Below are 14,754 nucleotides of genomic sequence, written 5' to 3'. Positions count from 1 at the left end.
ATGCAAAGAGACCGGTGGCATTTTGCCCCTGCCCTAGGGATCTGTAGAACTTTGAACTTGAGAGATGATTTAGGGTATCTGGCAGAAGAAATTTCTAAGCATTAAAGGATTCAAGAGGAAGCAAAGCATAAAAGTTTGGAAAATTTGCAGCCTGATGATGAAAAAAAAACATTTCCTGGGGAGAAATTCAAGCCAGCTGTAGAAACTTGCATAAGTAATGAAGAGTTGAATGCTAATCACCAAGACAATGGGGAAAATGTCTCCAGGGCATGTCGGACACCTTCACAGAAGCCCCTCCCATCACAGCCTGGAAGTCTAGGAGGGAAAAATAGTTCCATGGCTTGGGGCATGCTCCCCCCTGCTGCTCTGTACAGCCTTGGGATTTGGTTCCCTGAATCCCAGCTGTGGCTAAAAGAGGTCAAGGTACAGCTCAAGCCATTGCTTCAGAGGGTGCAAGGCCTCAAGCCTTTGTAGCTTACACGTGGTGTTGGCTGTGGGTACACAGAAGTCAAGAATTGAGGTTTGGGAACCTTCACCTAGATTTGAGGCCATATGGAAATGCCTGGATGTCCAGGCAGAAATTTGCTGCAGGAGCAGAGACCTTATGAATAACCTCTGCTAGGGCAGTGAGGAAGGGAAATGGGGGTTGGAGCACCCACACAGAGTACCCCCTTGGCACTGCCTAGTGGAGCTATGAGAAGAGGGTGACCATCCTCCAGACCCCAGAATGGTAGATCCATGACAGCTTGAACTATGTCCCTGGAAAAGCCACAGACACTCAATGCCAGCCTATGAAAGCATCCAGGAGTAGGGCTATACCCTGCAAAGCCACAGGGTCTGAGTTACCTAAGCCCATGGGAGCCCACCTCTTGTATCGGCATGACCTGGATGTGATTTATGGAGTCAAGGAGATCATTTTGGAACTTTAAGATTTAATGACTGCCCTATTGGATTATGGACTTGCATGGGGCCTGTAGCCCCTTTGTTTTAGCCAGTTTCTCCCATTTAGAATGGGTGTATTTACCCAATGCCTGTACCTCCATTTTATCTAGGAGCAATTAACTTACTTTTGATTTTACAGGCTCATCAGTGGAAGGGACTTGCCTTATCTCAGATGAAATTTTAGATTTGAACTTTTGGGTTAGTGCTAGAATGAATTAAGGATTTGGGGGACTGTTGGAAAGGCATGATTGTGTTTTGAAATGTGAGAACATAAGATTTGGGAGGGGTCAGAGGTGGGATGATACGGTTTGGCTGTGTCCCCACTTAAATCTCATCTTGAATTGTAGTTCTCATAATCCCCATGTGTCATGAGAGGGACCTGGTGGGAGGTAATTGAATAATGGGGACGGTTTCCCCTCATGCTGTTCTCATGATAGTGAGTGAATTCTCATGAGATCTGATGGTTTTATAAGGCGCTGTTTCCCCTTCACTCTGCACTTCTCTCTCCTGTTGCCATGTGAAGAATGTTTGCTTCCTTTTCCACCATGATTTTAAGTTTTCTGAGGCCTCCCCAGCAATACATAACTGCGAGTCTTGGTGGTATCTTGAGGGTTTGGTGGTATCTTGACAATGAACCCACCACTGGAGTGCATCTTGCCCTAGGGGACACTAGTGGCTGACAGTGCTTGTCCTTGAGGCCCCACTATCATTCCACTACATTCATACTGGTACCTGCAGTACCCTAACCCCGGCTGCCAGAGCCTAGGCAGATGGGATGACTGAGAACCTAGTATCTGAACTCACACAGCAAACCATCCACTCAAGAAACAGGTGAATCTGTACAATAGGGAAGGCACCAAACAGCTGGCCATACACATCACCCCTGGGCATCTGCAGATTGTGCCAAAAGACTTCCACTAAAGTTTAGAAATTCTTCTGCCTGATCTACCTTATTATCAAATTTGTTGACTGTATTTTTTATTTCGTTCATTGAATTATTTATTTCCAAGATTTCTGTTTAGTCCTGTTTTATGGTATCTTTCTCTTTATTGAATTTCACAATCAGATCAAGAATTGTCTTCCATATTTTATTGAATTGTCTACCTGTATTATCTTGTATTTCACTGAGTTTCCTTAAGAGCATTATTTTGAATTTCTTTTCAGGCATTTTATAAATATCTTTCACTTCAGGGTCTTTGATTAGAGACATAATCCTCTGAAGGTGTCATATTTCCTTGCTTTTTATGGTTTTTGGGTTCCTACATTAATATCTGTGCATCTAGTAGAAGAGTTACTTTTTAAAATTTTATGAATTATCTTTCATAGAGAAAGACTTTTTCTTGTAGAGAGGTCCTAGGTTGTCAAGTGGGTATCATGCATTGGCTGTAGTTCTGGGTAGATTCAGTGATGTGATCTTTATGCAGTTGCAGTTTCTTCAGCTATCATCCTCATCAGTGATGCCTGTGATTGCCTCAGTGGCCAAGGCTGCAGAAGTTTGTGATGGTGACAAAAGCTAAATAAAAAATAGAGAAAAATAAAGAAAGCCTACAAGACTTATGGTACACCATAAATCAAATAAATTTTCACATCATGAAAATTACATAAATATAAAAGAGGCAGGGAAAGGCATAGAAAACCTATTTAATTAAATAATAAGGGAAAGCTTCCCATGTCTGAGGACATATGTGAGTATCCAGATCCAAAAAGTTTCAATAGTCCCAAATATATTCAACCTAACAAGGTACTCTCCAAGCCACATGATAGTTAAAACTGTCAAAATTCAAAGACCATGATAATTCTAAAAACATCAAGAAAAAAATATCAAGTCATATGTTAAGGAATCCTCATTAGGCTAATAGTGGACTTCTCAGTAGAAACCTTACAGGCAAGAAAACAATAGGATAATATATTTAAAGGTCTGAGAGAAAAAAAATCTGCCATTCAAGACTACTGTACTGGCCGGGCACAGTGGCTCATGCCTGTAATCCCCACACTTTGGGAGGGCAAGGCAGGTGGATTACTTGAGGCCAGGAATTCAAGACCAGCCTGGCCAACATGGCGAAACCCCATCTCTATTAAAAGTACCAAAATTATCAGGGTATGGTGGTGTATGCCTGTAATCTTAGCTACTCAGGAGGCTGAGGCAGGAGAATTGCTTGAACCAGGGAGGTAGAGGTTACTGATTATGCCACTGCATTCTACGCTGGGTGATAGAGTGTGACTCTGTCTCAAAAATAAAGAAACAAAACAACAACAACAACAACAACAACAAACTACTACACCCAGCACAGCTATCTCCTTCAGAAATGAAGAAAAAATTAAGTCTTTCCCAGATAAGTACAACCTGAGAGAATTTATTACCACTAGACTGGCCTTAGAATAAATACTTAAGGAAGATCTACATCTGGAAAAGGAAAAAAAAAAAAAAAAACTATCATGAAAATTGACAAAAGAATAAAAATTACTGGTAGAGTAGTTACACAAATGAAAAATAGAAAGGAATCAAACTTTATCACTACAGAAAACCAGCAAACTGCAAGATAAACAATATGAGGGGAAGAAACAAATAATAGGCAGAGCAAATAGAAAACAATTTTTAAAATGACAGAAGTCAGTTCACACATAAAAATAACAATCTTGAATTTAAGTAATTTAAATTCCTAAATTGGAAGACATGGACTTGCTGAAAGGGAGGAAAAATAAGACCCACAGAAAACACACTCATCTGTAAAGAAAGATAAAAACTGAAAGTGAAGGAATGAAAAGATATACCATGTACACAGAAACAAAAAATAAGCAGGAATAGCTATAATTATAATTATTATTATTATTATGTCACATAAAATAGACTTTAAGTCAAGAAAATATAAAAAGGGACAAAGAAGGTCATTATACAACAATAAAGGGATAAATTCAGCAAGTTTTAGTTCTAAATATATATACATCCAATTCTTGAAAAATTGAAAACATACAGAAAATACTATTGGAGGTAAAGGGAGAGATAGACTATAATACAATAATAGTTGGGGACTTTAACATCCCACTTTCAGGATTGGACAGATCATCTAGACAATGCAATCAACAAAGAAACAGAATTTAAACTGCATTTTAGACTGAAGTAACCTAACAGACATTGATGTCATATTTCATCCAATGGCTTCAGAATACAAACTCTTATCATCAACACATAGAACGTTCTCCACAATAGGCCATATATTAGGGCACAAAAAAGTTTTATTAAATTTTAAAAATCAGGTCTGACCAGAAGGGCAGAGCAAGATAGCTGAATAGAAGCCTCCACCAATCATCCCCATCATAAGGACACCAATTTAACAACAATCTGCATACAAAAAAACCTTTTTAAGAAACAAAAATTAAGTGAGCACTCACAGTACCTGGTTTTAATTTCATATCGCTGCAAGAGGCATTGAAGAGGTAAAAAAGACAGTCTCGAATTGCTAATGCCACTCCTCCCCATCCTCAGGCAGCTGCTGCGTAGTGCAGAGAGAGAATCTATTTGCTTGGAAGAGGGAGAGTGCAGCAATTGTGAGACATTGCATTGAATTCAGTGTTGCTCTGTCACAGCAGAAAGCAAAACTGGTCTGAACTCAGCTGATATCCACCCATGGAGGGAGTATTTATTGCAGGCCTAGCCAGAAGGGAATTGCCCAACTCAGCAGTCAGAACTTGAGTTCTGATAAGCCTTTCCACTGTGGGCTAAAGCACTGTGGGTCCCTAAATAAACTTGAAAGGCAGTCTAGGCCAAAAGGACTGCAACTCCTAGGTGATTCCTAGTGCTGAACTGGGCTCAGAGTCAGTGGACTGCAGGGTCACACGATCTACTGAGACACCAGCCGGGACAGCTAAGGGGGTGCTTGCACCACCCTCCCCCAACCCCAGACTGCACAGCTTATGGCTCTAGAGAAGACCTCATCTTTCTACTTGAGAAGAGGAGAGGGAAGAGTAAATAAAATTTTGTCTTGCATCTTGGATACCAGCTCAGCCACAGTACAATAGGGCACCAGTAAGACTCTTGAGGCACTATTTCAGGCACTAGCTCTAATATATTTTTAGACAAACCCTGGGCCAAAAGGAAACCCACTACCTTGAAGGGAAGGACACAGTCCAGGAAGGATCTATCACATGCTGACTAAAGATCCCTTGTGGCCTAAATAAAAAGCAGTGATAACCAGGTTGTGTACTGTGGGCCTTGGTGAGACTCTGAGACTAGGTGGCTTCAGGTGAGACTCATCATATTCCTAGCTGTAATGGCTATGGGGATAAACTCCATTTTCTAGAGAAAAGCAGAAGGAAACTAAAGGGGACTTTGTCTTGTACTTTAGATACCAACTGGGCCACCAGGGATAGAACACCAAGCAGCCTCTTGAGGTCTCCAATTCTAGGCTTGCCTCTTGGATGGCCCATCCCTGGGCCAGAGGGGTGCCCACTGCCATGAAAAGTGAGTTTCAGCCCAGACAGTCTTCATGACAACTTGATGAAAGAGCCTTTGGATCTTAAGGGAAAATCGACAATAGCCTGGCAGTACTTCCTGTGAGTCTGTGATGGTGGTGACCATAGGGTAAGGCTCCTCTGCTTATGGAAAGGGGAGAAAAGAGTGGGAAGAACTGTATCTTGTGGTTTGAGTACCAGCTCAGCTGCAGTACAATAGAACACCAGGTAAATGTCTAAGGTTTTTTACTTTAGTTCCTTGTTCCTGGACAGCACCTCTGAACCTGCCTGAGACCTGGGGGAACTCACTACCCTGAAGGAAAGGACACAAGCCTGGCTGGCTTGGCCACCTGCTGATTGTAGAGCACCAGGGCCTTGAGGGGACATAGGCAGCAACCAGGTGGTTGTCACATCAGGCCTTGGGTGAGACCCAGTGTTGTGCTGGCTTCAGGTCTGACCCAGTGCAATCCCAATGGTGGTGGTCACAGGGGTGCTTATGTCACCCCACCCCCAGCTCAAGGCGGCTCAGAACAGAGAGAGAGAGATTTCATTTGTTTGGGAGAAAATAAGGGAAGAGAACAGAGTTTCTGCCTGGTAATCCAGATAAGTTTTGAGATCTTACCCAAGACCATCAAGGCGATACCTCTAGGGAGTCTGTAAGAACCACAGCTTTACTAGGCTTGCAGAAGCTCCCCTAATGCAGGCTTAGATTACAATACCCGAGTCCTTTCAATTACCTGAAAAGCCTTTTCAAGAAGGATGAGTACAAACAAGCCTACATGGTGAACACTACAATAAAACCTAATTATTCAATGCCAAGATACAGATGAACATCCTTAAGCATCAAAACTCTCCAGGAATGCATGACCTCAAAAAATGCACTGGGTCAGACATGAAGCCACCACAGCACTGGATCTCACTCAAGGAACTAGGGCTCAATATTGGAGAAACAGAGATATCTGACATTTCAGATAAAGAATTCAAAATTCTTTAGTTATTTTGAGGAAACTCAAAGAAATTCGAGATAACACAGAGAAACTGTCACAGCCCAGAGGACCCTATGGAGACAATTAAATGTATCCCAGATGAGACCTTACAACACAAAAAGGTATTAGGGGAAAACTAATAAAAAACAAATAGTTTGAGTTAATAACAATGGATCGATATTGGCTTATTATTTGGGACAAATGTATTGTAGTAATGAAAGACATTAATAGAGGAGAGTGGGTACAACATTTTTAGAAACTGTGTACTATCTTTGATACTTTTCTATATATTATTTGAAAAGAAAAAATGTATTTACGTATTTTAAAAAGTGGTGACACTTGTATTTTTTTAAGACTCCTCTCAGCTCTGATACCTTATGACACTGAAATTTTTACATGGATTTTCAGATAATTGTGAGCTTTACTAAGAAAGGTGTTTGGACATTAACAAGGAAGTTTCTGCAGATATATCATATATTTGCATCAAACAAGCAAATAAGTCATCTTGTTTCTTGAAAATATACTAAAGTAAATATATAACAAAATTTAGAAAGTTTTAAATAACCCTTAAAACAATCATTTTAAAACAGCATTTTACTTTCATTCTTGTGTGTAAATGTATTTTCATTGTAGCAATGCCATAGCATGTCCTCATGTTATGGCAAAAGAATCTTCCATATAACAATTTTAATGTTGACGAACCTCAATATACTGAAATTTAAGCTAATTCTAAAGTATTTCTTTTGTATGTTCCATCACAATAAACACTATAGTTAATATATACGTTTGTTTCTGTTAAATTATTTTCATGGGAGGGAAAACATTGGGTCAATGTATGGAACCAAATCTGATAATTTATTAACCATATTTCTACCTAGTTGTTAATTTTGTTAGTTCAGATTTAAGTGGTCAACAGAAATTTTAATGACTCTTGCTAATTTACCAGAAACTAGGTTGCATTTTTATTCACATTTTAACTTCAGAAAATGAAAATTTTCTTGAATGAACTTTGATTTGCATATATTTTTATGATTTGTTTATGCTTGACTAGCTCTTAAGGCAAAGATTGCAGTTGAACATTCAGCAATTTTTTTATATAGTTTAAAAAAATCATGGTCTTCAAGTACAAATATGTAAGAATGTATGATCCTCATTGATATATCAATTGTTTCCTCAAGAGAATACTGAATAAGTAACTTCCAAAATTCTCTTACTCTTTGGATGGATAAAAAAACCAAAAAACTATCCCAAATAGTTTTGCTCTCCTGGGCCCCCATCACTACTGCTATAGATGAATTTAGTAAGTAAGCTGTATGCAGGATTTTATCTTGAATTCAATTAAGAAACTCTATGTCAATGTAAAATTAATCCACACTTCCTCATTTTCTTCTTTCGTCTGTAAATAGAGATATCGAAATCTGGAAATTAGAGATCAAATAGATTTTTTTAAAGAATTAAATGATTTACAAATCCCTTTAAATCTTTTTATTTTAAATTAGATGCTGCTTATAGAAATTTACTTATATGTATTAAAGAGTATAAAACAAACTTCATATAAAAGGAACAACATCACACATTAGGTTTGACACTGTCTTTAGAGAGAGATGATTAAATAAAAATTATAAAAACATACATAAAGCTGCTGAGTTGATGATTTAACAGGCATGGGAGTCTGTCATCATTTTTCTTATCACCCAAATTATGTCTTTTGCTCATATTGGAAATACTTTAATTATCAAGGCTGACTTTGGGCTTCTATCCTTCAAAAACGAAGAGGGTTAAGAATAAGATTTGGGTCACTTATTGACACGATTTCACCTATAACTCTTTGAATTCTGAGCCGTGCTTAGCTCTCTCTAATGATGTGTTTGCATAATGTATCACTGTAGGTATCAAAATTTCTGCCATAGCCAGGGGATTCACTTTATGACGGATTGTTTTCTGGATGGTTGAAGTAAACTTTGTATTACAGACAATGTGGTGTGATAGAAAGAGCACTAGATAAAGTAATTAAATTCCATGTGCCGCACAACATTCCACCTGCTATGGTCATACATATGCCCTGTTATTGAGGAAAAAAGAATACAAAATAGTAGTAAACAAATGGTTTTAAAATATCCTAATTTGTTGTTTAATATACAAATGTATAAACTGTGTAACACATAAAGGAAACATAATAATTCTGCATGAGAAAAATCAAAATTTTATGAGGAAGTAATAGCTGATATTGAAAGAAGAGTAGGGCATTGGGAAAAAAAGACAAAGTTAGTAAAAAGTCTGTGGACAGAAAAACCTTAAGGCTTGAACATTCATAATGTTTGGGGGTCTCAGTGGGTAATTTAATGTGAATGATGAAGCCAGAAAGGGAAAAAAACAAGATAAAGTTAGGATATTAGATTGGGGGTAGTTTGGGAGGAGCTGTACATACATGTTATGATTAGGAGTGTGATAGCAAGTTATTGAATAGCCTTAGTCTCCAAATAAGGATGTTAAAATGCTTTTAAAAGTATAATGTTGGATATAGCATGAAGAGTGGATTATAGAAGAAGAAGAAAAAAGCCAGGGTAATAAGTTGGAGTTGGAGGTTGTTTCAATCAAGCTGGAGAAGATAGTGATGCCCTGAACACTTGGCAATGAGAATAGAGAAGATTTCTAAGAAAATATTCAGGGAAGTAATCTGCTGGGCTTACATTCTGATTTATTACAAGAAAGGTAAAAAGAAAATCTGTTTGGGCCTAGGAATTATAACAAAGAGGAATTATAACCCAGAGGAAACCTAAGGAGAAATAGATTAAGATAGTCCAGTTCCAGAAATATTACATTTGAAATTATATAGGAATATCTATAGGAAAATATAATCTGGACTGTTAGAATTTGGATATGGAGCTCTGGAAAGAACTGAAGTTACAGATTTTAGTGTCACTGGTTTATGAGAGTCCAGCAAAGGAAATGAAGCTCTTCATGGAGAACAGAAAGGCAACATCGTTAGTGTGACTTGAATCAGAAAGCCCAGGTTTGAGTGCCAGGCTCTGCCATTGACTATCTCTGTGACCTTGATTTCGTATTTTTCATAAATAGATGTCTTCCTGACCACTCAGAGTTACTTAAAATATTCAATGAAATAACATGCAAATGTGCTTTGGGAATTCTTAAAATATTTTCATTACTTTTGGGTGTGATATATATCCAGCAGCACCTATGTATTAACATGGTCATTGAAGCATTTCAATGATTAATTGGAAATGACCTAAATAACTGTAGGTAGAGATCATTTATATAAAAATAATACCTCAATTTACATGTAATTATTAATATGCTGACAGTAACTTCTGTTGCTATAGGGATTGTGAAAACACACTAATTATTTACACTATGACATCAAGGGAAATAAGGTAACTAAATTATATCTATAACATATTTATTACTATCTAAAAATTGATACAGAGAGGAAAAAAAGCTGGAAAGAGGTTTTCTAGAATCTTAGCCATTATTATTTTGGGGAGATGATACTATGGGTGACATCTTTCCACTTTAGTGCTGCTAAACTTACTGGTGGGGATGGAAGGGTGCAGAGTTCAAATGTTTCTTTAAAAAATTGATTCACCTGTGAAGGAAATTTACTTTTAACATGTAAAATCTTAATCACATTTGGTTGTATACAGAATCCTAACTCTGAAAATAAATTTTAAATTATCATTCTGGTCCAATTGTCTCATATCCATCACGTATAGGTAGTTAACTTAAAACTTCAAGAAAGGACATTTTCCTTGAGTCACAGATTTCATGGCAGAACTGATGACAATGATTATGATGATGATGAGAATGAAGAGACTTTTCTTTCCAGGTCGCTGCAGAAGAAAGTGGTTATTTTTTCCTTGGAATTTTTAAGGAAGCTCTCAGAGATAGCTCTGTGTTTTAATTATGTGTGTATATGGCTTTCTTGTCCTACTTAACTGTAAACATCATGAATACAGGGTTCTTTCTTCTGACTTATTCTGTGCTTATTGGCAAACGAATGGACTGCAGTAACTCCCAATTGCTTATGTGTATATTACAGTAGGTGGAATTTGAAAAAAAAAAAAGAGGTTTTCTGCAAGAGGCCATTTCACTTTTTCCTGTAGGGGACAGATGGGGAAAACACTGCATTCAATTTAGCTGGCTGCTTCTGGTTTCTTTTCATAGATTTTTTTTTTCTTTCTTTCTTGAGGGGAAAAATGTTTTTTTGTTTTTGTTTTTTACCTTTTTTTGATGGATTGTCTGGTGTTCTCTGTAAGACTTTTAAATTTGCTTTTCAGTACAGTAGAATTGCCCTCCAGATATTTTAAGGAGGTTGACTGATAAGGTTTAGTAACAGCTAACATTCTGCATCTTGGCAAAAGCTGACTGATATTTAGTAAATGTGATAAACAGTGGTCAGAAGATTAATTTTAAAGAATAGATTTGAGGTGCTCTTGGCAACATGCATGATGTATGTTACTACGGCCTTGATGCCAGGAGTATATTTGTAGAACTTAATTTATGTGGGGGTAGGACATATATGTTCTCATACTCACAGATCTGTAAGAAAATAGAAACCATAAGAATTGCATCTATAATTATTGTGTAATTTATTATTATAGTTGTAACTCCAGAGAGATTGGTATTCAATAAAGTAAAATCTACTGGAAGAATTATAACTCTAGAGCTACTGATGTTATAATGTGGATGTGTGAAAAACAAAAATCACCTGGGTTGCGGAATTTCTGCATTAGTACCCATGAGGGACTTGGTTGACTGAAGCAGAGCATGCCTGACTACTGTGATTCAAAGAAGTACTTTAGAGTAACTCCTGTTTTCTATGACTTAAATCACATCATGATATATAACACTGAATAATATAACACCAGGTCTCAAATGTTATACTGTAAACATTGATAGATGGCAACTTTAGGGTAGATAAACCCTATATACCATGTAATCTTTGGAGAAATAACATATTTTCCTAGCATATTTCTCTTCAAAATAGAGTGAAACAGCAATTCTTATTTTACAGGTGTAAACACTGTAAACAGCTAAAATCTGTTTTGATAATTTACAAGAAATTATAGTTAGAAGATCAATTCTCAGTTCATGTGATCCAGCATAATTTATAATTGTTCTTCATTATTTAAGAATTATGGGCTGGAACTGGTGGCTCAGGCCTGTAATCCCAGCACTTTGGGACGCCGAGGCGCAGATCACCTGAGGTCAGGAGTTTGAGACTAGCCTGGCCAACATGGTGAAACTCTATCTCCACTAAAAATACAAAAAATGAGCTGTGCATGGTGGTGGGCACCTGTAATTCCAGCCACTCAGGAGGCCGAGGCAGGAGAATTGCTTGAACCCAGGAGGCAGAGGTTGCAGTGAGCTGAGATCGTGCCTTTGCACTCCAGCCTGGGCAACAAGAGCAAAACTCCATCTCAAAAAAAAAAAAAAAAAGGATTATATGGGTATTTTGTCTCCTATTTTAAGTTACTCGTTCCTTTAAACAGTAATTTTTGAGATCTTGCTATGTGTAAATTACTTACCTTTCTAGGGGAGTTGGATATTTATGATCTTATTGATAGTTTAATTTATAAACCTCATTATTATTTTACATTTAAATGTTATGTTTAAAATGTTTGTCATAAAAAATTCAAGTAGTACATTGTGAAATTAAAAATAGCACTCTCTATTCATACAAGCAATCTTTATTAAAGTGTTTATATAATTGTTTTTATATTAATGATATCATATGATACATATTATTTTGCATCTTGCTTTTCTTCTCTCAATAGTAAATGATGAATTTCTTTACATGTCAGTAAATAAAGATGGAATTTTCTTGCTTTTTTAAATAGCTGACTAGTGTTCCTTCCTATGATAGTAACTACTTCTCTATTAATATAATGACTATTTTTCTCTGGCTGGTGCAGATGAGTGACAAATAATAACTATTTTTCAAGTTCTTTATTAATAGACTTTTTCTTTTACCTTTCGATACTTCTAGATTCAGTTCCCTGTTTTATTTGCTAGCTCGTATAACCATTATTTCAAGACCAGATTATCACCTCACATGTATACGGACTGCATTTTTTCTTGCTAATCTACTCACCCATAACATCCTACCTTTCATCTTACCTGCACATGGCTACCAGGACCATGATGTTAGAGCACCAGGGTAACCAATAACCTTTTATTCACTACTAAATGAAATGTACACCTACGGTAAAATTCAGTACTTTTTGGTATATGCCAATTTGATGTTCCATCCCTTCCCCTTACAAAAACTTTCTATTTCTAGTCAAACTAGATTCTATCCCTACATTTAATAACATGATATTTTTTCTGCCCCAGTCTTCCTGTTTATCTTGAACTACTGAAATCTTTACTGTCTTTTAAACCATAGTTCAAATTCTAGACCCTTTTGGGAGTCTTTCTTCCCCTCATTTTTATCAATATGCCAATAACTTAGTCCTCACTTTTCTGGGCTATCATAGCAAACTGTTTAAGGCTACATCATCTTAGTACACTACAAGAAACATAAAATTTAGGAGGAAGGATAAGTATATCACACATAACTATAATATGAAACTCAGAATGTGATACATGTTTCTCACTTGTCCCATCGACTTTGTGTGGATGCGCTTGTGCATGTAAGTGATAAATATGGTGATAATAATTAAATTTTACTGAATGTTTATTACGTGTATTAGGTTGGTGCAAAATTGAGGGTTTTGCCATTACTTTTAATGGCAGAACCCACAGTTACTTTTGCACCAATCTATTACTGGACATCATACCAAATTCTTTAAGCAATCATCTCATTTAATCCTCATAACAAGCACACAAGACAGTTGCTATTGTTTTTCTTATGTTACAGATGAGAAAATAGGCTGCAAGGGTTCAGCTACTGATCTAAGGTCATATAGCTACTACGTAATAGAGCCAGAATTTGAATCCAGGTTGTCAGAATTCCTAAACGGTATTGTATTTCTTTACTTAAAATTTATATGTTCAATCAATAAAATAGTCTTTGGAAGAACTAAATTGGCAGCCTATGACCCATAACCCATGACATAAGAAGATGTATGAGAGTGCCATTAAAGCCAAGCCATGAGAAAACATTATCCTCTAGAGACTGATAATTAACTAATAATGACATGTCATTAATAGCTAATTAAAAGAATTATATTCTCAAAATATTAGGTAAATTGCTCACTAATTTAATTAAAGGATTTTTTTCCAGGCCTCAAAGGTCTAGATAGCTTCTCATTTTTTTTTTCCCATTGCCCCATTCATTCTGAACCTGAAAGGATATAGTTCTTCATTGAAGGATATTGGCCACAAATGGGCAATTCATCTTTGTTCAAAGCAAATTATATTTCATGTTCTTCTGGAAAATTTAATCATTAGGGCAAATTCTTCCTGTATTTACTCTTTCTAGGGAAACCATTCGTTTGTCAGAATGAATGACCACTTACTACAAAATATTTTCTTCAATATGAATTAAAGTAGCCTCTTCATTTATCTCTCTGCCAGCAGTTTCACCATCTGTATTTGTTGGCCATGGTTGCTGTAACAAATTACCACAAACTTAGTGGCTTAAAACTACACAAATTTATTTTCGTATTGCTTTGTAGTTAAAACTTCCAAATGGGCTAAAACCCAGGTGTCAGCAGGGTTTCTTCCTTTCTGGAAGCTTGAGGGGAGAATCTGTATTCTTGTTTTTTCCAGCTTCTAGGGGCCACCAGCATTCTGTGGCCCATGGTCCTCCTCCTCCTCCATTTTAAAACCCAGGATGAGGAGTTTGAGTTTTCATATTGCTTCACTCTGCTATCTTCTTCTACCTACCTGGCTAATCCAGGATAATTTTCCCATCTCAGTGTCCTTAACAACATCTGTAAGTCTCTTTTGCCATGTAAGGCAACATATTCTCAGAGTCAGGGGACTAGGATGTGGACATCTTTGTTGGGTCATTATTCTGCCTACAACACTATTCCTTATTTTCATCTATTCTCCAAATCATTATCAGAGTAGACTTTCTCAAATGTATGTATGAACATTCATGTCCATATGCAAGCTTTTTCCATAGCTTACCCTTTCATACATTGCAAACAAGGTACTCCTATTCCACCACTCTTACTGAACGATTTTTGTTTCCACTTTCATTGTCTTCATAGTGTCCTTTTGTTTCTTCTTTTTGTGGCATGGGGGATAGTCAAGTAAAAAAATGAGAAAGGATGCTATACAAGTTCTAAAAGATCTGTAACACTAGGCTGTTCCCTTTGCCAATTTCCTCCTCTTTAATCACCTTTAAAATTCCTATTCATTCTTCAAGTCTTAGCTCAAGGGTTATCCTTTTTTTATATCATTTTTT

General features: G+C 36.9%; 1 long non-coding RNA gene across 1 annotated transcript; it reads right to left on the bottom strand.

Moving 5' to 3' along the window:
* Positions 1–2,016: 2,016 nt before the first annotated feature.
* LOC105378468 (uncharacterized) lies at positions 2,017–4,489 on the bottom strand. Its single transcript, XR_946292.3, has 2 exons — positions 4,338–4,489; positions 2,017–2,455 (listed from the first exon to the last, which is right to left on the bottom strand). It is a non-coding gene; the product is annotated as an uncharacterized LOC105378468 (long non-coding RNA).
* Between the last annotated feature and the right edge of the window lie 10,265 nt (positions 4,490–14,754).

Source organism: Homo sapiens, chromosome 10, assembly GCF_000001405.40.
Source record: "Homo sapiens chromosome 10, GRCh38.p14 Primary Assembly".
Classification (NCBI taxonomy): Eukaryota; Metazoa; Chordata; class Mammalia; order Primates; family Hominidae; genus Homo; species Homo sapiens.
The sequence above is the reverse complement of the archived record's forward strand: the minus strand, read 5'-3'. Positions and strand labels throughout refer to the sequence as shown.